The sequence below is a fragment of the Homo sapiens genome, chromosome 7 (assembly GCF_000001405.40).
Source record: "Homo sapiens chromosome 7, GRCh38.p14 Primary Assembly".
NCBI lineage: Eukaryota > Metazoa > Chordata > Mammalia > Primates > Hominidae > Homo > Homo sapiens.
The window spans coordinates 127,579,017-127,603,195 of NC_000007.14; the positions used below are offsets into that span (position 1 = coordinate 127,579,017).

General features: G+C 49.4%; 3 protein-coding genes and 2 long non-coding RNA genes across 6 annotated transcripts in view, besides 11 other annotated features; 2 read left to right on the forward strand and 3 right to left on the reverse strand.

Annotated features, from left to right (window-relative positions):
- Positions 1 to 10,830, reverse strand: part of LOC105375490 (uncharacterized) — a 104,836-nt gene extending 94,006 nt beyond the window's left edge. The window contains exon 1 of the long non-coding RNA XR_007060511.1: positions 10,740 to 10,830. This is a non-coding gene — a long non-coding RNA (uncharacterized LOC105375490). The remainder of the gene's footprint in view (positions 1 to 10,739) is intronic.
- Positions 1,612 to 6,580, reverse strand: GCC1 (GRIP and coiled-coil domain containing 1). Its single transcript, NM_024523.6, has 2 exons — positions 5,135 to 6,580; positions 1,612 to 4,293 (listed from the first exon to the last, which is right to left on the reverse strand). Exons 1-2 carry the CDS (start codon positions 6,164 to 6,166, stop codon positions 2,998 to 3,000), a joined length of 2,328 nt encoding a protein of 775 aa, NP_078799.2. The 5' UTR covers positions 6,167 to 6,580; the 3' UTR covers positions 1,612 to 2,997.
- Positions 4,010 to 5,209: an enhancer, noted in NCBI's record as "BRD4-independent group 4 enhancer chr7:127223080-127224279 (GRCh37/hg19 assembly coordinates)". NCBI's record gives its function as "activates an origin of replication core promoter dependent on BRD2, P300/CBP, MED14 and CDK7 cofactors, and independent of BRD4, by STARR-seq in HCT116 cells {active_cell/tissue: HCT116}" and the evidence as "EXISTENCE:reporter gene assay evidence [ECO:0000049][PMID:35650434]".
- Positions 4,010 to 5,928: a biological region, named in NCBI's record as "BRD4-independent group 4 enhancer GRCh37_chr7:127223080-127224279".
- Positions 4,928 to 5,928: an enhancer, noted in NCBI's record as "H3K27ac-H3K4me1 hESC enhancer chr7:127223998-127224998 (GRCh37/hg19 assembly coordinates)". NCBI's record gives its function as "activates a minimal SCP1, AML or CMV promoter by ChIP-STARR-seq in naive H9 embryonic stem cells {active_cell/tissue: H9 hESC(naive)}" and the evidence as "EXISTENCE:reporter gene assay evidence [ECO:0000049][PMID:30033119]".
- Positions 5,929 to 6,928: an enhancer, noted in NCBI's record as "H3K27ac-H3K4me1 hESC enhancer chr7:127224999-127225998 (GRCh37/hg19 assembly coordinates)". NCBI's record gives its function as "activates a minimal SCP1, AML or CMV promoter by ChIP-STARR-seq in naive H9 embryonic stem cells {active_cell/tissue: H9 hESC(naive)}" and the evidence as "EXISTENCE:reporter gene assay evidence [ECO:0000049][PMID:30033119]".
- Positions 6,649 to 6,698: an enhancer, noted in NCBI's record as "active region_26586". NCBI's record gives its function as "activates an Ori minimal core promoter by ATAC-STARR-seq in GM12878 lymphoblastoid cells {active_cell/tissue: GM12878}" and the evidence as "EXISTENCE:reporter gene assay evidence [ECO:0000049][PMID:35858748]".
- Positions 8,216 to 8,842: an enhancer, noted in NCBI's record as "H3K27ac-H3K4me1 hESC enhancer chr7:127227286-127227912 (GRCh37/hg19 assembly coordinates)". NCBI's record gives its function as "activates a minimal SCP1, AML or CMV promoter by ChIP-STARR-seq in naive and primed H9 embryonic stem cells {active_cell/tissue: H9 hESC(naive and primed)}" and the evidence as "EXISTENCE:reporter gene assay evidence [ECO:0000049][PMID:30033119]".
- Positions 8,843 to 9,468: an enhancer, noted in NCBI's record as "H3K27ac-H3K4me1 hESC enhancer chr7:127227913-127228538 (GRCh37/hg19 assembly coordinates)". NCBI's record gives its function as "activates a minimal SCP1, AML or CMV promoter by ChIP-STARR-seq in naive H9 embryonic stem cells {active_cell/tissue: H9 hESC(naive)}" and the evidence as "EXISTENCE:reporter gene assay evidence [ECO:0000049][PMID:30033119]".
- Positions 8,843 to 10,095: a biological region, named in NCBI's record as "H3K27ac-H3K4me1 hESC enhancers GRCh37_chr7:127227913-127228538 and GRCh37_chr7:127228539-127229165".
- Positions 9,232 to 9,721: a silencer, noted in NCBI's record as "silent region_18594". NCBI's record gives its function as "represses an Ori minimal core promoter by ATAC-STARR-seq in GM12878 lymphoblastoid cells {active_cell/tissue: GM12878}" and the evidence as "EXISTENCE:reporter gene assay evidence [ECO:0000049][PMID:35858748]".
- On the forward strand, positions 9,395 to 12,684 carry ARF5 (ARF GTPase 5). Its single transcript, NM_001662.4, has 6 exons — positions 9,395 to 9,549; positions 10,067 to 10,147; positions 10,469 to 10,578; positions 11,050 to 11,121; positions 11,947 to 12,072; positions 12,197 to 12,684. The coding sequence occupies exons 1-6, from the start codon at positions 9,483 to 9,485 to the stop codon at positions 12,281 to 12,283; spliced, it is 543 nt and encodes a 180-aa protein (NP_001653.1). The 5' UTR covers positions 9,395 to 9,482; the 3' UTR covers positions 12,284 to 12,684.
- Positions 9,469 to 10,095: an enhancer, noted in NCBI's record as "H3K27ac-H3K4me1 hESC enhancer chr7:127228539-127229165 (GRCh37/hg19 assembly coordinates)". NCBI's record gives its function as "activates a minimal SCP1, AML or CMV promoter by ChIP-STARR-seq in primed H9 embryonic stem cells {active_cell/tissue: H9 hESC(primed)}" and the evidence as "EXISTENCE:reporter gene assay evidence [ECO:0000049][PMID:30033119]".
- Positions 10,096 to 10,721: an enhancer, noted in NCBI's record as "H3K27ac-H3K4me1 hESC enhancer chr7:127229166-127229791 (GRCh37/hg19 assembly coordinates)". NCBI's record gives its function as "activates a minimal SCP1, AML or CMV promoter by ChIP-STARR-seq in primed H9 embryonic stem cells {active_cell/tissue: H9 hESC(primed)}" and the evidence as "EXISTENCE:reporter gene assay evidence [ECO:0000049][PMID:30033119]".
- LOC105375489 (uncharacterized) lies at positions 10,853 to 13,224 on the reverse strand. Of its 2 annotated transcripts, none has more exons than XR_007060513.1 (3): positions 13,113 to 13,224; positions 12,797 to 12,988; positions 10,853 to 10,935 (listed from the first exon to the last, which is right to left on the reverse strand). It is a non-coding gene; the product is annotated as an uncharacterized LOC105375489 (long non-coding RNA). The 2 variants fall into 2 exon arrangements; XR_007060512.1 differs by lacking the exon at positions 10,853 to 10,935 and adding an exon at positions 12,511 to 12,702.
- A 1,495-nt stretch (positions 13,225 to 14,719) lies between these two features.
- FSCN3 (fascin actin-bundling protein 3) lies at positions 14,720 to 23,128 on the forward strand. The gene is made up of 7 exons (NM_020369.3): positions 14,720 to 14,981; positions 16,291 to 16,987; positions 17,312 to 17,430; positions 19,419 to 19,578; positions 20,365 to 20,535; positions 21,178 to 21,383; positions 22,607 to 23,128. Exons 1-6 carry the CDS (start codon positions 14,838 to 14,840, stop codon positions 21,381 to 21,383), a joined length of 1,497 nt encoding a protein of 498 aa, NP_065102.1. The 5' UTR covers positions 14,720 to 14,837; the 3' UTR covers positions 22,607 to 23,128.
- The last annotated feature ends 1,051 nt before the right edge of the window (positions 23,129 to 24,179 follow it).

Below are 24,179 nucleotides of genomic sequence, written 5' to 3' on the forward strand. Positions count from 1 at the left end.
GATAGTTGGAACATACTATTAACACCAGCTAGTACCCAGTACTCTTTTATTGTGTTAGAATTACCCAAGTTCTAAAGCTAGCAATCATCTGGAAACTGGGGACAGAGCAGCTTTAGGGCTCTTATGAAGAACCACTGTTGCCTGCTCAACCCTATAGCGTAGCAACTTTGCTTGGCTGCAATTGATAGCTGGAGACGTTCTCTCCATTTGAGCCAGTCCAGTCCAGCCTAGAGAGCAGTCTCCCCATCCCTAGAAATCTAGGGAGAGGCTCTGACCCTCCCAAGGGCTGAGGAGGCAGGAGCATACCCAGATTAAGCAGGCTTTGTGGCTAATCAGACCTGACACAAACATTTACTAGTTACATGATCTTCCACAAATTTAACATCTGTTAAGATGGGGGTAATAGCCCCTGGGAGGAGTAAATGATAAAAATGGGTGTAAATGGCTCAACATGACACCAGGACATTCTACAAGAATGAGCAAAAATGATCCTTAGTAGTAGTAGCTTCACAAAACAAGGTTGAGAGCTTGAATTCTAGGTAACAGACAGGGATTTAACAACAGCCAGGGCATGATACAAGGACAGGTTTATTCCCCAGATGGGAGGTGCCCAAGAAGGGGTCAGAATGCCTTCCCTCCACATTCTCCGTCCATCTCTTCTTCATAGCAATCCTCCTCTAACTTGCGTGGTAATGGTTAATCACGTAAGGCTCAGCCTCATTACCTTACTAACACATCTCATATACCGTCTGATATTCTGGGACCAGGGCCGAAGGAAAATGTGTTTTTCTCTAATTCTGATCTCAATTCTTTCACCCTCATTCTCCCTTTCCTTCCTTACAGTATCTGTCACAGGCAAACCAGCCAAATAACTGGAAAACTTGTTTCAGGGAAGGGTGTGGGAGATAAGGAATTTTGAATTTAGCATGTCTGCATTGATTTTGTCTGTTTCTAGACTGTGTCAAGGGTAGGAAGGGAGTAAGTCTTTTAGTTTCAGTTGGGAGTCTTCACAGCTTTATGTATCTCCCAATTTTTAAAATTATTAATCAGAAATTGACTTGCTTCTTTTCCTATTTGGTATCTTCTCAAAAGTCAAAAGCACAGGGATTATTAGTCCTAGGAAAGCAACTGTGACTATGGATCTTTCTACTCTGTCCACAGCTACCTAGAAATAACAATTACAAGACATCCTACATTTAGAGAGAACAAGGTAAGAAAATTAAGCAAGTTTATTACTATTTTTTAGTTTGGCTTGATGTCCTGAGACACTTTTTCGGGATACTATGAATCCTGATTTTAAGGATAATAAAGCATTCATAAACAGATTACTTATAGAGGTTGAAGTGTAATTATGGAAGTTTTAAGCCTGCCCACTAAACCCATAAGAAAGCATTTTCCAGCATAGGTGGCCACACACAAACATATACACACACAATTCCAGGCTAAGAAATGTGTTATAACTAAGGTGGTTAAAGCACCGAGGTATTCCTCCCTGGATTCAAGCTCATGGATTAACATATGAAAACATTATTTCCATCCTTTTCATTCACCATTTACATTCACAATCTATTTTTGTCTAGATATATAGATACTATTAAGGAACCACACAGGTCAAGTCACTCAGGTTTAATGATTCCATCATTTGGACACATAAACTTCTGTTCCATTTAAGTCTGCTCACTGTAGATAATCCAGGTCACCCAGCCTCCCATTAAGATTTAATCAAAGTTTTCTGCACCCCAAACCCTCACAAAACAGACCTCTATGATGAAATCACAGAAAGATACATATTAGTCCAGTTAGTGGCCAAACATTGGTCTTTAGAGTCCAAAGACCTCTATAACCAGTAACAGTAGTTGGGAGAAAAGAAGGAATAAAGAAACTGAGTTTTCTGAGAACCCCCTTTCCAGACTGCCTGAATAAGTTGCCTTTTCTTAAAAGAGCAGGATTAATCTACTTATGCCAAGACCCACTGGGCAGAAAGCACCCCAACCCAGGTTTAGCTGATCTTTACCACTTCCCTGTGAGAGCTACAGCAATCTTTTGGAATTTTCTGCAGCAAATTTTCCCCTTTTGCTGTCCCTACAAAGGCAGAAAAGCTAGGGGCCAATCTCTGAGCTAATTCCTTGAATCCAGGCAGGATGAGCATTCACCATTTGGACCCCTCTCTGTAAGAAGCTAGGACTTTATTTCTTAATGAAAGTTCAACACTGAGGAAAAGATAGCAAAGTCGTTGACTCACAATCTCAGGCCAACCTCAGGCAGATAGGTTAAGGCAAGGATAGGCAAGAAAGGTCTATTTTAACCCTATCCAGGCAAAAAGCAGGTTACTTTGGAAATCCCTAAGATCAAGCTGGTGCTCAGGGCCCTCTCTAGGATGGTCATAAGCGGTGTGATTGCATAGGTCATCCCCAGGCACTAATTAGACTAAGCTTCCCAGTTCCTTCCAGAATAAACTCACTATTCCTTAGCCCTTGGGACTAGTGGATGATATGTCACTATTTCAAACTTCCTGGTCCCTTTCCAGCCTGGTTTTATGTCCCCAGAGAATTGGGGTAGCAATGGACCAGACTCAGACTGTGATGAGAGGGAGAAAATAGCTAGGTTTTGTGCATTTCAGAGATTAACTGAACTCCCTTTGGAGTCACATTTACTCCTAGCTTTGTGCCAGGAGCATATTATTAAAACAAAACATCTTATTTTAAAACAGCCTTACCACTGTTCCAACTTCTGCACTTCTCAGTCCTAACCTCATCTTCTCCTCACATGCACACCATCAGAAGATACTGCCCCAGGACTTTCAGTATCTCTAGGGCCTAAGGATAAAGCAGCATTAATGGCATTTGGCAGAAAATCCCTTCCCACATTGAAGACTCCTCCCAGCTCAACACAGTGAAGAAATAAATGACAATGTAAGAGAAGAGGCAGCAGAAACCAGAGCCTGCCCTTTCCCACATAAAAGAGGCACAGAAATTCCAGGAATTCATGAAAATGGCATCATCTCTTGCCAGAAGGCCACCAGCTGGCACTGGTTGGGAGTCGCATTATCACTTGTTTCTCCTCTGGACTGAAGTGCAAGATAGTCAGTATGGCTGTGAGAGTCTGCTGGCGGCCCAGGGAGTCAGGTAAGGTCAGGAAGCGGTAGATGATGTTTTTGAGGTACTCCAGATTGGCTCCCTCCCTGCTCTGGTCCCTGATGTTCTTTTCGATGTGGCTCTGCAGGGCTGCAACCTCCTCACGATGCCGTTCGCCCTCCTCCAGCAGCCGATCCTGCAGCTGATGCACCTCGACCTCCAGCCTGTGCTTCTGCTTCCTCAGTGATGTGATCTCCACCTCCTTGCGGGCCAGTTGCTCAGCGTACAGAAAGAAAGTGGGCTCATTGGCCGCTGCAAGTTGTAATGCTTGGGTCAGGCTATCAGAGGATGATGTGTCAGCTGGGTCCCCAGGACCGCCACCACCCACAGGACTTCTGCGTCCTGGCAGCCCAGAGGCCAAGGCCACAGAACGCAGTTGCTCCAGTTCCAAGTCCTTCTCGGTGAGCACAGCTAGGGCACGATCCCGCTGCTTGTGCAGCTCCTCCTCCAGTTTCAGTGTGCGGTCCCTGAAGTCCAGCTGGCACCGCTCCAGCTCCTGCCGGTGGAGCTGCTGCAGCCGGGCCAGCTCCTGCTTCCAGTCATCAGCCTCCTGCTGGTGTTGGTGCTCCAGCTCCTCGCAGGAGAGCCGCAGGGAAATATACTTCTCCTTCAGCTCTGCAAGCTGTTCCTGGGCTGCCTCCAGCTCCTTTCCCAGGTTACCATCTTTGGTATTCTTGCTTTTGAGGACAACCTGGGCTCTCATCTTGTACCTCTCAAACTCTTCCTTCAGCTGTTTCAGCTCCTGTTGGTAATAGAGTGCAGTAGCCTTCTCCCCATCAGCAGCCTCCGAGCTGGGCATTATCTCCAGGTCACAGAGCTTCTCCACATCCAGGGTCACCTGGCTTTTCCTGGCCGCAACCTGCAGCAGCCTCTTCAGCTTCTCCATCTTATCTTTCAGGACATTGACATCCAGACTGGACTCCTCTCCATGGCTGTCTAAAGGGGACCTGCTGGAGGCTGCTAGAGCCAGTGTCTTGTTCTCCAGGTCCAGCTGCAGAATGCGCTCCTTCAGCTTCTGAATGGCCAGCTGGTCCTTCTGCTTGGCTTTCTCGTAGGTGCCTAGCAGCTCAGACACCTCGGATATTTGATTCTCCAGGGCTGCCACCCTCTGTTCTTCTACCTGAGATTGCTGACGGAGTTGATCCTCTGCAAGAGCTGTCTGCAAAACAAGGGAACAGACAAAAATGCATCCACAAAAGCCCCACAGCAAACTCTGAGAAAGCAGGAGAGGGGAGCAAAAGGGTCACAGGTTTGGGATGGCCTGGCAAGAATGCTAACTAGGGATTTTTCGGTTGATTCAGGAGCTAACAAAAGTTCCTATTACCTGCTTGGATTCTGCAAGACACATATTATACTGAACAATATGAAGCACCTTGGTACATCTGCTATTGTTCTGCTTTCCACCTAACCACATATAATGTGTGTTACTGTTGTTTCTCAGGTGCTTCCTCAAATCCTATTAAGAAATCATACAGCATTCTTTTCCTTATCCAATATTCCTGGAAGTTCAAAACTGCGCTGGATCTCCCTCTCCACATTGAAAGGAGGCACCCTTTCAATACCTGTTCTGGAAAATAGCACTTCTCCAGAACAGGCACATCTTGAGTAAAGGCAATGACAAGAGGTTACTTCTGAGAAAATCCCCTTTGCCTTCGGCCACTCTTCCTAGAGGCACATACCAACAGAAGACACGCTACCTTTTACTATACAGCTGCCACTATACTGCTTCATAGAGCACAGCTGGTAAGATGCCAATGCCCAGAAGTGCAGAGCTGTCTGGCTTCAACCCAGCCTACACTGAGAAGCTCCACATCCTCCTGGAAGCACATATGTCAACACCGCATAGAACAGGACTTCCCAGGTTCACTAGTGGAACTTCTCAGGTGGCATCAAAAATGACAGTATAGACACTTAGCTCTAACTAGCAAAGGAGGAAAAAAACCCTAATATTTCTCACTTCAGGTCAATGGCTGATGTTTGAAAGAGATATGGATAATTACCTTTCTCATTTCCTGCTGTAACTGAGCCTGGAAATGGCTCTTAAGGCGGGCAGCCTCTTCCTGAAGTTCTTGCAGCCGGGGATCTGGCTGATTCTTCTCATCTCGAATGGCCTGCAGTTCACTTTTCAGCTCCTCCACCTCACGGGTCAGCTGCTTGGTCTGCAGTTCAAATCCTTCCATCTGTTCAGCTGCATATGCTCGTCCTGCCAAGGCTTCTCGGGTCTCTTCTAACCTAAGCTCCAAGTCCTGGCGCTGGGTCCTCTCCTCCTGCAGCAGCTTCTGGAGCTCACGCAGCATCAAGGCATGGTCACTCTGCTCTTGGGCCCGATCATGCTGCTGCGTGATAAGCCGGGCTTTGGTTTCTGCTATTTGCTCCTGCAGCCCCTTCAATTCTCCCTCCAGGCGGGCCCTCTCCTCCTCCGCCTTGTTACTGGCATCCTCTAAGTCCTGTTTCATCTTTTTCTTGTCAGCCAAGTAAGAAGCCTCCATGCGGGACTTCTCCTGAGTGACTGTAGCCAAAGAACTGGTCAAAGTAGCCAACTGAGTCTTCAGCTGGTGCAGTCTTTTGTCCACCTCCCCACCTGCAAATGGCCCATCCCCACTGCTACTGCTAACGCCACTCTCGGACCAACTGGCCTCTTCGGACTTTGGAGGTGGTGGTCCACGGGCCGGTCTGTCATCTTCTACCCCAAACTCACCCTTGGTGCTGGTGAGACTGGCCGCAGTATCCAAGCTAGTGGCGGTCCCAGTGCTATCCTCGCTGTGAGTGGAGCACCGGTCATCCACAGAGTCAGGAAAGGTGAGGCCTGGAAGCTGGACACCTGCGAGGCCCACATCTGCCTCGTGGGATACCGACAGCACCTTGATGCTGGCCTCTAATGCCTCTTTCTCCTTCAGCAGGCTTTTATAGGCACGGACCACATCCTTGAGCCGTGCCTGGTACTGGAGAAGCTGCTTCTTCTGGGTCTCTATAGTCTCCAGCAAGTCCTTCTTGCTCGGGCCGCCCCCGAAATTCATCCCAAACTTCTCCATGGAGGGTCTGAACGGATTGCCCCACGTCAGCTTTCCAGCAGAACGGGAGAGGGCCGTGAAGACGCAGGCGGGGGCTTAAAGAAACAGCGAGCGGGCTGTCCGGCGGCGGGCCGCACACCTACTCCACCTAGTTATCCCGGACCTAATGCGGAACGGCCGGACGGACTGGCGAAAGCGGCCGCCCGGTCCCAGGCCCGGAGGGCTGGGGCGGATTCTACCCCGGAGGCGGGGCGACACTGGCACCAGAGGTGCGCACTGCCAGGGCTCGTTAGCGCTGGCCCAGAAGCCGCTCCGCACTCTCCGCTCGTCTGGGCCACAGCAGCCCGGGCCGGCCCCCTCGGCCCACGTCGGCCAGAGGGTTACGCTGAGCTCGGTCCCATCACGACATCCTAACTAAAGCTGCCTGCCGACAACGGCGCTTCCGTGTCCGCTGGAAGTGACGTCAGCGAGGCGCCGCAGGCTCCGCCCCCAGTGGGCCCAAGGTAGGCGGGGCCAAGTCGGCCGGTGGGTGGGCGCGGCCTGTTGAGAACGCAGTGGGGCCGCGAGCGGCAAAAAACAGGCTTGGGAAAGGCGAAGCCAGCAAAGTCGAAGACACCAGAGTGGCACCGGTTTTGTGAGAGCGCCCAAGCTTGACCTCGGGCTACGCTCAGCGAGCGACAGAGCAACGTCGCACTGCATTCTTACCAAACACCCAGGTGAACGACGCATCCAACGATTTGGGAGCTCAGGACCCATGGTCCCTAAAAGGCAACAATTAAGACTCCCATTTAGACCACGAAAACTGCAGTCCTCTATAGCACAGTGCTTGGTACCTAGTAGGCATACAGCCTAATAGTACCCTTCCTTAGTTCTGCTGAGTTGATTCCACAAATATTTACGGAGGGCACTCTATAGCCATGTCTATCCTGAGTGCCAGCTATATACCAGGAGCTCACAAGAGTTTTGCTATTTAGTCTTTACAGTAATTCTTGTAAGCACTATACTCATTAGCACTATTTTACAGATATGAAAACATGAGGCAGAAAGGTTATACGTAACATGCCCAAGGTCACACAGCTAGTAAGTTTAGGAGTTCTAATCAGTCTGATTCTCAACGTATCACGTGCTGTGCCAGATGGTAACACCATTAAGAGACACGACCTTGCCCTCAGGGAGCTCGCAATCTAGTGAGGAACCAGACATACAAATATGTCCTGCTATCACACCAGTATGTCTGGGTATATTCAAAGTGGTATGAAAGTTAAGAGGAAAGAGGCCTGTCTAGGTGAGGCATGGAAGGCTCTTGGGAATAATACTTTGGGATTTGAAGGATGAGTCGTGATTGTCCACCTAACCAGAGATCAGGGAAACTAGCATTCCAGGCAGGTGGAAAAAAATGCAAAGACCTGTAGGGTATCGGAGTTTGACTCACCCAGAAAGCATTCAGTAGCTTAGGGTATGTGAAGGAGGTGACAACAGAGGGGCTGGCACAATAGGTAGGGACCCAACTTATGGCATTTAAATTTTATCTTGGGTTATAGTAAGGCCCTAATGGATTTTAATCTGAAAAGTGGGATGTCATCAAGACTTGTATGACATGTTGGAGGGAACAAGGGGCAGGAAACCTGTGAGGAGACTTTCAGTCATGGGGAACAGAAGGTAGTGACAACAGAGATGGAAGCAAAGAGGCTGATAAAAGAGCTAAATGTAGAATTGACCTAACTTGGTGAACACTAGTTCTGTTATTATATTGGAACTCTCTAAAATGTACTCTTCAGCCTCGTAAAAGCCTTCTTAGGGATGCAAGTCTATGACTGAAGAGAAAAGGAAAGTCATTCACTCACTCATACCTGTTTCCCAAAGTCTGTCCTTGTTACAGACTTTGCAGATCAGGATGGGGCAGGCCCTGGAGGTCTGTTCAGACCCCGTTTCTCAGTGGCCCAAATAACATCAAGCTGTATTATACATAACATTCAGTCACATTATCAAATCATTTTAAGATTCACCATAACCCCTTAAGTTAGAACAAGTCTCATTTTATAGATGATGAAATAACGGAAGAGTTATGAGGAGTGCTGAAGCCAAATCCTCAAGAAATGGCAGAATTAAGATTTGAACTAAAGCCTGAAATCACGTGCTGGCAAGTGGTGGGTGCTCAGTAAATATCTGCTGAAAAAGCAAATGAATGAGTGAAGGTTTTTTTATTCCCAGCTCAGTTTACCTCGAGTCCATAAACAATTGATCCTAGAAGCCCACTGGGAATCCAGAGTAGACATAACACCTACCCTCGCTCCATTGAGAATCTATCAGTCCAGTTCAACTGAACAAGCATTTGTTAGGCCTAATAATGCCTGGCAATGAGCCAGTCTCCACCGCAGAAGAATTTCATTCCTATTTTGCTATTCTCCTCTCAGATGTTAAAATGAGGCAGGGAAATGACATGTGAAGCTCTTTGGGTCTACGGAGTCAAGATCTTCACAAAATCCTGAATGGATGTGCAAGAATAAGCCAGGTCCACAAGTCTGTGGCAAAGTGAGGAACTTCGGCAAAGCGGCCAGCGCCTGGACTGAGAGGCGGGGCCCGCAGGGCGATCCAAACGAAGGTGGACTTCTCCAACAGCCCAGGAGTGGGTCTGTGACCCCGCCGCCCAAGGCCGGGAATCTTACACTGGTTCTGCGGATTGGGAATTAGGAAGTAGGCGTTTTGAGGAACCATGGAAGCTAGCTAGCACTCGGGCACCTTCCCCTACCTCCCGCGCACTCTTCACACGACCACCTACTACGCGCAAGTCCCTCGGTGGAAGATGAGGCAGTAAAGGGAGGACCAAGACCCCTAATCGCAGCTTCCACTCCCCAAAGGAGAGTGGTGCACACGTTCAGTGCTACTGGTTCCCAAGGGCTAAAACCGGAGCCCCTAGGGGCCTGGACGCAACAAACCAAAGCCCAGCGGCCGGCCACTGAAAATGGGGGCAGGGGCCGCTGCGGAGCGATGAATCCTTTCCTCAGCCGCGCTCGGGCTGCCGGTTCGGCGGCCACAGGCCTGGCAGGCGCGTTAGAGACCTAGACCCGTTCCCAAGTAAGGGCCGCACGGGACCCAGGCCAGCAGCGGCAACTCGCGGAGCTTCAGCTCCCCTAGGAGCCAGAGCCGGGGGAGGCGGGGCCGAGAGCCGGGGGCGGGGCCCGGACGGGGGCGGGCCCGCGGTGACGTCGGGAGGGCAGCGACGCGCGGAGGCGGCGGCGGAGCCTCCTCCTGCTGCTGCTGCGCCCCATCCCCCCGCGGCCGGCCAGTTCCAGCCCGCACCCCGCGTCGGTGCCCGCGCCCCTCCCCGGGCCCCGCCATGGGCCTCACCGTGTCCGCGCTCTTTTCGCGGATCTTCGGGAAGAAGCAGATGCGGATTCTCATGGGTGAGGCAGATCGAGCGCGCGGCCCGGACCGGGGCGCCGGCCCCGGCGCAGCCCTTCCGCCCCCGCGTCCCTCCAGCCCCGCTCACCTGGGTCTCTGGCCCCGAGTCACCCACCTCATAACGCCCCGGGGCCTCTGCTCTCGGGCGGGTCCCGGTCTGCATCGCCGACCCCGGGGCCTGACACCCGGAGCTGCGGGCCTGGGTGGGGTGAAGCTCCCTCCGCCCCAGCCCGGCTGGTAAGAAGGGAGGATTCCGCCCTTGGAGACGACTTTTAAAACGAGCGCGGCCTACCTCCCGTGCCCCTTGCCTCCCAGTCCTCTCCCGCTCCGCGCCCTCTTTGGAGTTGGCTCACGCCACCCGACTGCCCTCCAGGCCTCAAAGGTAGATAACGACGCGCACCTGGAGGCGCTCCCGCTCTCCGCCCCAGTCACCATCAGCTGTTGTGGCCTCTCCCTTTCCCTGGTCTCTAGGGGGCTCCCTCGCTCCCATCTCCATCCCTGTGCCCCTTTCCGTTGCAGTTGGCTTGGATGCGGCTGGCAAGACCACAATCCTGTACAAACTGAAGTTGGGGGAGATTGTCACCACCATCCCAACCATAGGTGAGCCCGGGGACGAAGCAGGGAGCGGGAGCGCCGCGGCGGGCCCTCGCGGGGTCTGCTCCCAGTTCTGCCACTTTTCTGGAGCTGACCCTGACACCAGATACAGCTATTTGAGAAGTGGGTCAGGGTATCTCTACGTGGATACCGGAGGCAGGGTGGATGTGACCTAGCCCCGCCCTGTTGACCGCCAGTTCTGGGGTTCTGTTCCCCTGGGCCTTGATCATTGCCTTCTGGTTTTGTGTCCCTGCTGAAATCTAAGTAGTTTTAGTGAGTTCCTTTCTTTCAGGAGTTTTCTCATCTTTTTTTTCCAATTATCTGCAGGCTTCAATGTAGAAACAGTGGAATATAAGAACATCTGTTTCACAGTCTGGGACGTGGGAGGCCAGGACAAGATTCGGCCTCTGTGGCGGCACTACTTCCAGAACACTCAGGTGGAGTGTTGGGAGGGGACTTTCTAACCCCACGGGAAAAGGTGTTAGGGCTGGGAGAACAGAATTGTTGGCCTAGGCTGGGCCCCCAGGCCAAGGAAAAAACCCTTCCCCACTTCTACCCCTTCTGTTTGGCTATCCCCTACTCACTCTTCAGAACTCACCTTAGTCTTCCCCAGCTTGGACTTCTCTTTAGAAGCAGGATTCTGGGACCAGGCTGCCTGATTTAGCCCTCATAACATGTCTTTATTTCCTTGCACATCTTTGGATAAACTACTTCCTCTTTGCAGTGGGGTCTCTAGTTTGTGCCATGACTCCTGTAGAGCTTCTATAGAGTTCTGTAAACTTCTGTAGAGTTTACTAGATGAGAAGGATTGACACAATTACAAATGGGAAGAAAACAGAAAGGGCCACACTACGGTATGTCCCAGGCAGAAGTGATTGCTTCTCCTTTCTTCCTTCCTTCCTGCCCAGGGCCTCATCTTTGTGGTGGACAGTAATGACCGGGAGCGGGTCCAAGAATCTGCTGATGAACTCCAGAAGATGGTGAGTACCCAGAGCCCTGGGAACTGAGCCCTCAGCTTGGGGACAGAGTGATCTCTGTAGTGGTATAGAAGTCAGGGAGCCCCCAACAGGCATTGAAGACCAGGAATATAAGTTTTTCTTTGTGGACAGACACATTGTGTATCTCACCCTGTTTTGGATGGGAGTGACTTTTTCACTTTTTCTGTGCATTGTCTTGTCTTTTTTTTTTTTTGAAATGGGAGTTTTGCTGTTGTTGCCCAGGCTGGAGTGCAATGGTGCAATCTCGGCTCACTGCAACCTCCGTCTCCCGGGTTCAAGCAATTCTCCTGCCTCAGCCTCCCAAGTAGCTGGGATTACAGGCGCCCGCTGCCATGCCCAGTTAATTTTTGTATTTTTAGTAGAGACGGGGTTTCACCATGTTGGCCAGGCTGGTCTTGAACCCCCAACCTCAGGTGATCCACCCGTCTTGGTCTCCCAAAGTGCTGGGATTACAGGAGTGAGCCACTGCGCCCGGCCGCATTCTCATGTCTTTACATCTGAGTCTGAGAAGTTGTGGGAGAGATGGGACTTATATGTGGCAAAGAGAAACATTTTACATTCCTGCCTTTTCCATTTGGAAATGTTGTCATTTTGCCTAGGCAAGTACTCAAATTAGGAAAAGGTCTTTCTTTTCTGGACTTATGGGCTCAGGTCACCTCAAGCTCATTTACAACTATGTCTTGTCTTCAACGGCAGACTGCACAATACTTTTTTTTTCCAATCAAGATGCTAGGAGGTAGAAAGGGAATTCCCCAACACAGTAGAGGAGACGCAGCCTGGGTCCCACCTTCTCTTCTCCTCTCTCAGCTGCAGGAGGACGAGCTGCGGGATGCAGTGCTGCTGGTATTTGCCAACAAGCAGGACATGCCCAACGCCATGCCCGTGAGCGAGCTGACTGACAAGCTGGGGCTACAGCACTTACGCAGCCGCACGGTAGGGGTCCTGCCCACCTGGTGCTGAATCCTGCCTCTTGAGGGAAGCTGCAGGCTGGGACAGAGATATAAAGGCATTCCTTTTGTTCCTGGTTGCTGACCTCTTTCTTTCCTTTTCCCCACAGTGGTATGTCCAGGCCACCTGTGCCACCCAAGGCACAGGTCTGTACGATGGTCTGGACTGGCTGTCCCACGAGCTGTCAAAGCGCTAACCAGCCAGGGGCAGGCCCCTGATGCCCGGAAGCTCCTGCGTGCATCCCCGGGATGACCAGACTCCCGGACTCCTCAGGCAGTGCCCTTTCCTCCCACTTTTCCTCCCCCATAGCCACAGGCCTCTGCTCCTGCTCCTGCCTGCATGTTCTCTCTGTTGTTGGAGCCTGGAGCCTTGCTCTCTGGGCACAGAGGGGTCCACTCTCCTGCCTGCTGGGACCTATGGAAGGGGCTTCCTGGCCAAGGCCCCCTCTTCCAGAGGAGGAGCAGGGATCTGGGTTTCCTTTTTTTTTTCTGTTTTGGGTGTACTCTAGGGGCCAGGTTGGGAGGGGGAAGGTGAGGGCTTCGGGTGGTGCTATAATGTGGCACTGGATCTTGAGTAATAAATTTGCTGTGGTTTGTACACGGTGTTGTCTGTAGCCTGCAAAGGAGAGGCTAGGTTACTGGGTACCAAGAGACAACGTGGGAGAGGATCAAAGCAGCTAAGGCTGCAGGGCAACCCCACCCACACATACCCTCAGCTCAGCTTCTCCCTCCTTATTCTTGGGCTGGAAATACTGTAGGGTTTACAGTGGTGCAAATCTCATTCCTTCCCAGCTCCAAGGAGCCTTTGCTGAAGATTACAGGATCTCCCTTCATAGTTCCATGAACCACGTAATTGTTTCCCATCATTCTCGTAGCTACTTAGAGCCGTTCTTAATGTTTGCCTTACACATTAAAATTAGAGGGGGAGAGAATGTGCGTTAATAATACGAATCCTGAGGTACATTTCAGAAAATGTGATTCATCAGGACTAGTCTGATGCCCAACAATATGCATCTTTAAAATTACCCAGAGGAGGCCGGGCGCAGTGGCTCACGCTTGTAATCCCAGCACTCTGGGAGGCTGAGGCAGGCGGATCACGAGGTCAGAAGATCGAGACCACGGTGAAACCCCATCTCTACTAGAAAAAAAAAAATACAAAAAATTATCCAGGCGTGGTGGCAGGCACCTGTAGCCCCAGCTACTCAGGAGGCTGAGGCAGGAGAATGGTGTGAACCTGGGAGGCGGAGCTTGCAGTGAGCTGAGATCGTGCCACTGCACTCCAGCCTGGGTGACAGGGTGAGACTCCGTCTCAAAATAAATAAATAAATTAAATAAATAAATAAAATTACCCAGGGAATTCTGCCACTAATAGTCTATTACCCTTATTTTATAAAACATCGGTGGGGTCTGGGGCTTGTAGTTCCTTGCTGCACACCACTGAGACTCTTGCTACTTGGGAAGACCCCTCCTATGGGGAATAGGAAAGCAGGTATAAGGAACCACGGGTGGCTGGGCACTGTGGCTCATGCCTGTAATCCTAGCACTTTGGGAGGCTGAGGTAGGAGGATTGCTTGAGCCCAGAAGTTAAAGACCAGCCTGGGCAACATGGCAAGACCCCATCTCTACAAAAAACAAAAATAAAAAATTACCTGGGCATGGAGATGGACACCTGTGGTCCCAGCACCTCAGGAGGCTGAGGCGGGAGGATCGCTTGAGCTTGGGAGATCAAGGCTGCAGTCAACTGAGATGCACTCCAACCTGGCTAGCAGAGCAAGACCCTGACTCAGAAAAAGGAACCAGGGGTGTGGCTTATTCCCCAAGTGTGATCGACTGCCCATTTTCCCTTGGATCCTAGCCAGGCTTAGGCAGAACTCATCATCACTTGTTTTTGCCTTTGTTTTTCTTTCATGTCACTTTTCCAGGTTCTGAGCTGGGTTTTCTCCTCAAGCTTTGCAGGAAGTGAGTCCAAGAGACTATAACTCAGAGATTCTTTGGAGGGGAAAGATACCCTTGCAGGAGCTCTATCTGCCCAGCCAGATGTCCTACCCACTGGCAGAGCAGCTGGGGTTGAGGAGGGGTGCTTGGTGCTCTCTCCACCTAGGCCCTTCTCCTTACCCAGGTCCTGAGCCAGCCTTCCTGATGAATATGAGTAATTTGATGTCAACTGATTAACTAGGGTTTCCTCATACTCCCTGCAAAATAGCATCTGGAACATTTTGACCTCATCCTCCTAAGGGCCATAAAAGCTGATAGATTTTTCTTGGTTATCTTGAACTTAACAAAATACTTGAGTTGCAAGGGAGCCAGGCAGAACTCACTTCCTTGGGAGAAAGGAGGTTGCTTTCTATCCTGTTACCAGAATGAGAAACGGAGGTAAAGAAAGGAAAAAACTTGCCTAAATTCACAGGTTGAAGTTCCGGATCCTGGTCTCAGCTCAGCCTACTTTGGTGCCCAAAGGGGAATAGGAAGGCAAACACCGGAGGCTCTGCACCCGCCTCCTCTAGGCCATGGATTAATGCTGCTGCGCCAGGGCCCTTTCCCCACTGTGGTGTGATAAGAGGCTGCCCTCACAGTCACAATGCTCCCGGGTCACAGAGGTGCTGGGCCCCAGGCCAGCCTCTGCCTGGGAAGTTCTCTCTGGGAACATCTGGTGGGTACTACAGGCCCTATTCCAGGCCCTATGGCCTGTGGAACCTCACCACGGGGGGGAGGGCTGGGCCAGACGGAGACATCACCTGTGGTGTCAGCCCCATGGATGAGACAGAGTGGATACACAGACATCCCAAGGCTGAGGACCTAAGGGTTGGGCTCATCAGCTGGGCAGGAACCTACCTCACCTTTGAGGCATGCAAGAATACAGTCACTGCAACTGCGAAGAGTTTGGGCAGGAGACAGGTGACAAAGCAAACCCATGCTGGCACCAGTTTTCTGAGTGGCCAAGCTGTGTGTGTGTGTGTGCGCGCGCGCGTGTGTGTGCGTGAGTGTATGTGTGTGTGTGTGTGTATGTACTTGCCTGTATATGAAAGTATACTGGAACCGGTTTTCTGAGTGGCCAAGCTGTGTGTGTGTGTGTGTGTGTGTGTGTGTGTGTGTGTACTTGCCTGTATATGAAAGTATACTGGAACCAGTTTTCTGAGTGGCCAAGCTGTGTGTGTGTGTGTGTGTGTGTGTGTGTGTGCGCACTTGCCTGTATATGAAAGCAGGGTGTACTCTCAACCTAATCACTTTCCTAGGTTCTGCCAGTGCCAGGCCTGAGACTTTTCTACTCTAGGCTTTTGTTCACAGACCCTATTGCCCCATCTCCCACCTCTCAATTTATTCCGCAAGGTGAAGCCTCAGCCTTGCCCTTGCTGCCTTGTCCTGCTCTAACTGTCCCTATTCCCCATCCCAGCACAGGGTGGTTGTGTCAGAAAGAAGAGAAGTGGAGAGCACAGGGTGGTTGTGTCAGAAAGAGGAGAAGTGGAGAGCCCAGGTGGGAAAGCAGAATTGTGGGCATCCAGGGGAAGTTGGACCAGTGGAGTTATTGCAAAGCCTATGTTTCTGTTCTGGTTGTGGTTTGAGAATGGGGAACTCCAGAAGCCCTAGCAGTGTCGGTCTTCATTCTAGAGAGGAATGTAGGCACCTCTGGGATGGGTGCCAGACTGAGGCAGGGGCAAAGTTCTTCCTCTTATAACAAGGTTGATCACAGCTGAACCAGGCAGTTGCATCTGAACTGTTCATGCTCCCATCTTCATCCCTGGAGCCAGGGCCTGCCTATAAGAGCTTTTGCTTCTGTCTTGCCATGCTGGAAGGCAACCTTTGGGGATGGAGGTATTGGCTAAGTGTGCTCTCTGCGGACAACAGTGAGGAAGAAAAAAGTAAGACTTACACCAAAGCGTTTCTTTAAAAATTAGGTATTGAAGAGTGGGATTAAGAAAGGAGGGAGGGTTTACCTTCTGTTAGCTGAAGGAGGTAGACATCTAGAACTTCTCTTTGGATAGTGCCATCTGGCTGCAGGGGTGGAAGGGCCCAGAGATCTCTTGATGAGGGGATAGTGGGAAAGTGGAAGAGCTGACAGCAAGGAGATACCAGGGCTGATGTGGAAGAGGAGGTGGCTGGTGCTGATGAAGGTGCCAGGGTGATACCAGCCATGACAGTTGCAGGGCTCCTTGGTCTGGTAACTTCGTGATACTGATTTCCCTCTTCTCCCTCCTGATGCCTCCAGACCTGGGAGATCTTGGTGAGCAATGAGCATGAGACACAGGCCGTGGTGCGACTAAAGAGCGTGCAGGGCCTCTACCTGCTGTGTGAGTGTGATGGCACCGTGTGTTATGGCCGCCCAAGGACCAGCCACCATGGGTGCTTTCTACTGCGTTTCCACCGGAACAGCAAGTGGACCCTCCAGTGCCTAATCTCTGGTCGTTATTTGGAGTCCAATGGCAAGGACGTGTTTTGCACTTCCCACGTCCTCTCAGCTTACCACATGTGGACCCCCCGACCAGCCCTCCATGTCCACGTGATCCTCTACAGCCCCATCCACCGCTGCTATGCCCGGGCTGACCCCACTATGGGCCGCATCTGGGTGGACGCAGCAGTTCCCTGCCTGGAGGAGTGTGGCTTCCTGTTGCATTTCCGAGATGGATGCTACCACCTGGAGACCTCTACACACCACTTCTTGTCCCATGTAGACCGGCTGTTCTCCCAACCCTCATCACAGACAGCTTTTCACATGCAAGTGCGGCCTGGAGGGCTTGTGGCACTGTGTGATGGAGAAGGAGGCATGTTATATCCACAGGGCACGCATCTGCTCTTGGGCATGGGCTGCAACCCCATGAGGGGTGAGGAGTGGTTCATCCTACAGCACTGCCCAACCTGGGTCAGCCTCAGGTCAAAGACTGGGCGGTTCATCTCAGTCATCTACGGCAAGTGCTGGACCCAACACAGATGGAGGGAGAGAGGGCTGGCTGTTAAAAAGAGGAAAATGTGTTTGGGATCAGCACAGATTTTTGAGTCTGCTAATAAGGAAGATCCTGGGGACCCAAGGGGATCTTTTGTGCCATCGAGAAGGACAGAAAAGCATGGGTATGGGATTTAGGGGAAAGTTGCCTAGGTCTTCTCCAGACCTACCATGGTCCAACAGAAAGTGATGAAGTTTGAGGAGGGAGGGACAGAAGCCCCGGTCATAAAACATGGAGGAGGGGCCGAGACTGAGGGGAGGCTTTTACTGACATGCGCTTCCTCTGCAGATGGTGAGGTGCGTGCTGCTTCTGAGCGCTTAAACCGAATGTCCTTGTTCCAGTTTGAATGTGACAGTGAGAGCCCCACTGTGCAGCTTCGTTCAGCCAATGGCTACTACCTATCCCAGGTGAGACCTTGGCTTCCTGAGCAAGAGAAACCTTAAGCTCTGAGCTCTCCCTCCCTAGACTTCCTTCTCCTTTTTCAAGGCAAATGATGAGAGGATGATGTGGGCTGTGGAGGCACTTGTTGATAAACATTCATTTTCACCCAATGGGGGCTCCTTTAAAAAAAAAAAACAAAAATCAACTTTATTAAGGTATAATTTGAAAGTTTGTAAATTATATAATACACATATGTATAAATTATGTATATTATTTACAAATAAGTATATTATGTATGTTTTATAAATAAAATGCACCTATTAAGTATAAAATTCAGTAAGTTTTGACAAATGTATCCATCCATGCAACCATGCCGTAAGCATATCACAAGTGAGAAAATATTTCCAACACCACAAACTTTCCTCCTGCTTCTTTGCAGTCAGTTTCCCTCCACCCTTGCCTCCCTCTCCCAGCTACCACTGATCTGTGTTCTGTCTCCGTGAATTAGATTTGCCTACCTACTTTAGCGTTTCTGATCAATGGAAACATACAGTATGTATGGTACATACATTTCTTGTGCTTGGCACAATGTTTTTAAGGTTCGTTCACATAATGTTCGTGTGTCAGTAGTTCATTCCTTTTTATTGCCGAGTGGTATTCTATAATGCTGCTCATAAACATGATTTGTTTATCTATTCACTTGTTGATGAACACTTGGCTTGTTTCTAGTCTGGGCTATTATGAATAAAGTTGCTATAAGCATTCATGTACAAGTCTTTTTGTGAACATACATTTTCATTTATCTTGGGTAAATATGTAGGAGTGGAATTACTAGGTTGTATAATAGATATGTGCTTAACTTTGGAAGAAAGTGTCAGTTTTCTAAAGTGATTATACTATTTTACATTCTTGTCAATAACGTATGAGGGTTCTAAGAATTCCATATCCTCACCAATAGTAAAGCTGGCTTTTGGATTGTCTTTTTTATTTTAGCCACTCTAGTGGGTGTGTAATTTATGGATTTAATTCACATTTACCTTATAATTAGTAAGGTTTAGAATTTTTTTTTTTTTTTTGAGATGAAGTCTTGCTCTGTTGCCTGGGCTGGAGGGCAGTGGCTCAGTCTCGGCTCACCACAACCTCCGCTTCCTGGGTTCAAGAGATTCTCCTACCTCAACCTCCCAAGTAGCTGGGACTACAGGCATGCGCCACCATGCCCAGCTAATTTTTTGTATTTTTAGTAGAGATGGGGTTTCACTACATTGGCCAGGCTGGTCTCGAACTCCTGACCCCATGATCTGCCCGTGTCAGCCTCCCAAAGTGCTGGGATTACAGGCATGAGCCACCGTGCCCGTTTTCATGTGCTCATTGGACATTTGTATATCTTCTCTGTGACATATCTATTCAGATGCTTTGCCATTTGTTACTGGGTTGTTTGTCTTATTAATGCGTTGTAAGTGGTCTTCATGTGTTCTAAATCCAAGTCCTTTGCCAAATATATGTATTGCAAAAGTTTTCTCCAAACCTGGGGCTTACCTTTTTATTTGTTTAATGGATCTTTTGAGAAGCAAGTTTTTAATTTCAGTGAAGTTCAGTTTATCAATTTTTTTAAATGGTTACTGCTTTTCTTGTCCCAAGAAATCATTGCCTACCCCAAAGTTGCAAAGAACTTCTCTTATGTTTTCTTCTAGATGTTTCATAGTTTAACTTTCACTTTTATGCCTATGATCTACTTTAAAATGATTTTGGAGTCAAGACTGAGGTTTATTTCTCTCCCTATGATATCCTGGCGTAGTTTTTATGCTGTGCTCTGGGATACAGCACAGACTGGGGGAAGGGGAAGAGCTGAGGCCACAGCACATCTTCCAAAAAGGTTCTGAAAGCATCAACTCTGGGAGCATGAAAAAGGCTGATGAGTGGGATGTGGGAAGAGGGTCTAGGAATAAAACTGATGGGAAGAAAGCTGAGATTGTCAGTCCTTACTCCTCATCTCTGTTTCTGACATTCTTTCCAGAGGCGCCACAGGGCAGTAATGGCTGATGGGCACCCCCTGGAGTCTGACACGTTCTTCCGAATGCACTGGAACTGTGGCAGGATCATCCTGCAGTCCTGCAGGGGGCGCTTCCTGGGCATTGCACCCAACAGCCTGCTGATGGCCAATGTCATCCTTCCAGGTGAGTGGAGCAGCCTTCCTGCCAGATGATTCCAAGTCAGGGAGAACTTTAGAGGGAGGTGGAATATGATTGTTAAAAAGAGCACTGAAGGCCGGGCGTGGTGGCTCATGCCTGTAATCCCAGCACTTTGGGAGGCTGAGGTGGGTGGATCACGAGGTTAGGAGTTTGAGACCAGCCTGACCACGTGAAACCCCATCTCTACTAAAGATACAAAAATTAACCAGACATGGTGGTGCGGGCCTGTAATCCCAGCTACTTAGGAGGCTAAGGCAGGAGAATTGCTTGAACCTGGGACTTGGAGGTTGCAGTGAGCCAAGATCGTGCCACTGCATTGCAGCCTGGGCGACAGAGCGAGACTCTATCTCCAAAAAAAAAAAAAAAAGTACTGGAGTTGGGGTCGGAAGATTTGGGTCTGTACTTGTTCAGTCACTGAATTTTTGTCATCACTTGAGCAAAGCACCTCCTTGAGCCTCAGTTTTGTCGTCTATAAAAATGAACATTTCATTGTCTACAACTCTGCAGCCTCACAGAGTTGTCATGAGGATTAAACACATCAACACATCTCAAAGGAAGGAAGAATATTAAAGCTTCTTGGGTTTCGCATGTGCTAGGTACTCTCACAAACATTTCACAAGCACCTAGCATAAGACCTGACACATAGTAGGTGTTCATTCACTGTTAAAATATTGACCACACCCTTCTGCAATTAGCGTCCCCCCTCCTGCTTCCACTTGGGAAAACACCTAAAGGCAGCCCATCCAGATAACTCCTTCCTATTTCCTTCAGGCCCAAATGAGGAATTTGGGATTTTATTTGCCAATCGCTCCTTCCTTGTATTGCGAGGTCGTTATGGCTATGTGGGCTCCTCATCGGGCCATGACCTCATACAGTGCAACCAGGATCAGCCCGACCGCATTCATCTACTACCCTGCCGACCGGGTATCTACCACTTCCAGGGTGAGTGGCTCCTCTTCCCTGCCCAAGGGTTCACAGTCTAGTCCCTGCCTTAGCCCCAGCTCAGACTTCAGGGCCTGCCACTCAGGGCTTGCTCATTATAAAAGGAAAAACAGGCCAGGCGCAGTGGCTCATGCCTGTAATCCCAGCACTTTGGGAGGCTGAGGCGGGCAGATCACGAGGTCAGGAGATGGAGACCATCCTGGCTAACACGGTGAAACCCCGTCTCTACTAAAAATACAAAAAATTAGCCGGGCGTGGTGGCGGGTGCCTGTAGTCTCAGCTACTTGGGAGGCTGAGGCAGGAGAATGGCGTGAACCCAGGAGGCGGAGCTTGCAGTGAGCCAAGATCACGCCACAGCACTCCAGCCTGGGCGACACACCGAGACTCCGTTTCCAAAAAAAAAAAAAAGGAAAAACAGGACCTCTGTTGTTTTCACACTTCAAAGCCCCAGGGTGGGTTGGCAGAACAGAAAACAGTGGAATCCCTATTGGCGCTCCTGCATTTCCATAGAAGGACCCGCCAATGCAGGCAGGATGGGGCAGCTAGGGGAGGGTGGCATGCCTCCACAGAGTCCCTCCAAGGCCAGATCGCTGGAGGACTCCCCTGTGAATGGCCCACCAACCTGAGCTCTTCCTTCTCCAGCACAGGGGGGATCCTTCTGGTCAATAACATCCTTTGGCACCTTTCGCCCTTGGGGCAAGTTTGCCCTCAACTTCTGTATCGAGCTTCAGGGGAGCAACTTACTCACTGTACTGGCCCCCAATGGCTTCTACATGCGAGCCGACCAAAGTGGCACCCTGTTGGCAGACAGTGAAGACATTACCAGAGAGTGTATCTGGGAATTTTAGGTAAGGGAGAGGAACAGGTAAGGGGCTAGGGGAGCAGAAGCCATGGGGCAAGAGGAGAAGGGAGGTGGGTGGGGAGGCATGTGATGGGAAGACCAAAATGCACTCCCAGGCTGACTTCTGTCCCATAATTTGATCAACTCCAGACATTTATTCCTAATCTGTGCCATTTCTTTAGAGCTTACAAACCTGGGCTTGCTAGAAAGGGGAGACAGTTTCCCACTGCTATGCCACACTGACAGGTGGGCTTGGAAGCACGCTTGGAGGGGACAGGGTGAGGTGTTCTTGTACATTTCTATCTCCATTAAGATGCAGAATTTCACTCTATTTTTAGGGAAAACGGATGACTTTGATCATGTGTGTAGGTGAAAAAAAAGATGTGCTTTCTATCCTTTGCACCTTCTATCCCTACCTCTTGGACCCCTGGGTCTCTTGAATATTTTCCTCAGCCCCAACCCTTCTCCTGACCTCTAATGTCATGTCTCTCCAACCTCCTGATAGACAGTTGACTTGACTTCGTCCTGCCAGTTCCTAAAAATCAACATAGCTGATATCAGCCTGCTCATCTTCCCTTCCTAAGGTGATCCTGTTTTCCTGCCTTCCCCAGGGCCATCTTGGGCATTCCCTCCTCCCAAATGCTCAGGCTCAAGAGCTCAGCATGATCTCTCCACCCTTTCTTTCACTTCCTTCATCAAACCCTGCAAATACTTGGCTACTTCTTTAACAATGCCTCTTGTGTGCTTGCTCCTTCTTAATTACCATTGCCACCACTTGGCTCCAGGCTTTTCTCCAGAAGCACTGCTTCTAGGGCTCCCCGAAAGCATTTCCTGCTGCCAGATCTGTCCATCCAATCTCATCTCCGACATCCAATCTCATCTCCACAGTTTGCTTTTATAACGTGGCGCTTCCCTTCCATCATTCCCTGTTCACACTCTTCAGGGCACCTTGTTGCTCTTTGTCCTGTCCCTTCCTAATGGACCTCACTTTCCTGACTTATTGTGCAAAGTGCTTTGTTTTTTACATCACACAGACCTGGAATCAAGAGCTATTAAGCTTCTTCCTTTAAGTTAACTTCACATGTGTCTAGGGTGGATCCCTCATCAAGAATAGGATAAATCACTATATTCTTTTTCTCCCACAGGATCTGACCCAGTATTCTAAAAGCCAGAGATCAGCAAATGACTGACTTGATTGCTGACCATTTATATTTCCTCTTTCCTCTCCAGGTCAATGGGATGTCACCTACCAAAATCCAAATCCTCCAGGAAAAACTACTACACTAAATGGACCAGGAACCTCAGAGTCAAGATCCAAGAGAAGAACATCTGTTACAACTTTTCCTACCCAGTTTAGCAAAACACCTGTTTTATGCAACAATACATCACAACAGGCCACCCCCAAGATCCTTGTGTGCATCTGACTCAATATAGAATAGGGGTCTGGATGAGGGTTGAAACAGACACCCCAGGCTGCTCTAAGTTCTATACAGGAGAGACCAAATGGCAAGCAGTTCTTCCACTGATCTTCCCCGTCCCCATCCAGAACTGCTAGACTTTTTCCAGTGAACCCATGAGCAGCCAGCATTGCCCTGAAGGGTTTAGAATCCAGTTATGACTTTAAATATCTTTTTGGTTTAGAAAAAAGGAAAGATTGTTAATCTCGTGAGCACAGGATAATGGTAATAACACCTTATGCCTGTATAGGCCACTTTACCTCCTCCTACCACGATTTATTTAACTTCCCCACCCATCATTACCTTTTTTCCAGTGAAGTGGGTACTTCCTCCACCACTTCTTACCTTTTTTTTTTTTTTTTTTTTTGACAGAGTCTTGCTCAGTCACCCAGGCTGAAGTGCAGTGGCAGTGGTGTGATCTTGGCCCACTGCAACCTCCGCCTCCCGGGTTCAAGCAATTCTCCTGCCTCAGTCTCCCAAGTAGCTGGGATTACAGGCGCCCGCCACCACCCCAGCTACTTTTTTTTTTTTTGTATTTTTAGTAGAGACGGGGTTTCATCATGTTGGCCAGCCTGGTCTCGAACTCCTGAACTCAGGTGATCCACCCGCCTCGGCCTCCCAAAGTGCTGGGATTACAGGTGTGAGCCACCGTGACCGGCAGACTTCTTACCTTTCACAGACAGCAAAAGTGATTTGCCCAAGATCTCATGACTAATCACAACACAGCTAGGCTTCTGACTCAAATCCAACTCTAATGTCCACCATTCTTTCAGTCAAAGCAGGATTTCCAAAATGTCTGTCATTCTTACACTGTTTTTGTGATTTTGGCCTTTATCTACCTACCATCTGCCCTATTAATGTTTTTATTGACATAGACTCTTAAATACATTTATTTAGAAAGGAATATTTTTTCACTATCATAAAATGGAAAACCAGTATCACTTACCATAAGTGGAAAATGACTATAAAAATAAATACAGGTATACCTCAGAGATATTGTGGGTTCAGTTCCAGACCACTGTGATAAAGCAAATATGGCAATAAAATAAGTCACACAAATTTTTTGGTTTCCCCAGACATATAAAAATTATGCTTACAGTATACTATGAAGTATGCAATAGCATTATGTCTTAAAAACAATGTACATACCTTAATTTTAAAATACTTTATTGCTAAAAAATGCTAATGATCGGCCGGGGGCAGTGGCTCACACCTGTAATCCTAGCGTTGGGCATTAGGGAGGCCTAGGCAGGCAGATCACTTAAGGTCAGGAGTTTAAAACCAGCCTGGCCAGCATGTTTGAAACCCCATCTCTACTAAAAATACAAAAAATTAGCCGGGTGTGG

Bases quoted from the DNA above. Each gene is read 5' to 3' on its own strand.
- FSCN3 (NM_020369.3), top strand. From the start codon at position 14,838: ATGGATGAGACAGAGTGGATACACAGACATCCCAAGGCTGAGGACCTA. The intron at 16,988-17,311 runs GCAAGTGCTGGA...CTTCCTCTGCAG, and splicing joins GTTCATCTCAGTCATCTACG to ATGGTGAGGTGCGTGCTGCT. The intron at 17,431-19,418 runs GTGAGACCTTGG...CATTCTTTCCAG, and splicing joins ATGGCTACTACCTATCCCAG to AGGCGCCACAGGGCAGTAAT.
- GCC1 (NM_024523.6), bottom strand. From the start codon at position 6,166: ATGGAGAAGTTTGGGATGAATTTCGGGGGCGGCCCGAGCAAGAAGGAC. The intron at 4,294-5,134 runs GTAATTATCCAT...CTTGTTTTGCAG, and splicing joins TACAGCAGGAAATGAGAAAG to ACAGCTCTTGCAGAGGATCA.
- ARF5 (NM_001662.4), top strand. From the start codon at position 9,483: ATGGGCCTCACCGTGTCCGCGCTCTTTTCGCGGATCTTCGGGAAGAAG. The intron at 9,550-10,066 runs GTGAGGCAGATC...TTTCCGTTGCAG, and splicing joins GCAGATGCGGATTCTCATGG to TTGGCTTGGATGCGGCTGGC. The intron at 11,122-11,946 runs GTGAGTACCCAG...CTCCTCTCTCAG, and splicing joins CTGATGAACTCCAGAAGATG to CTGCAGGAGGACGAGCTGCG.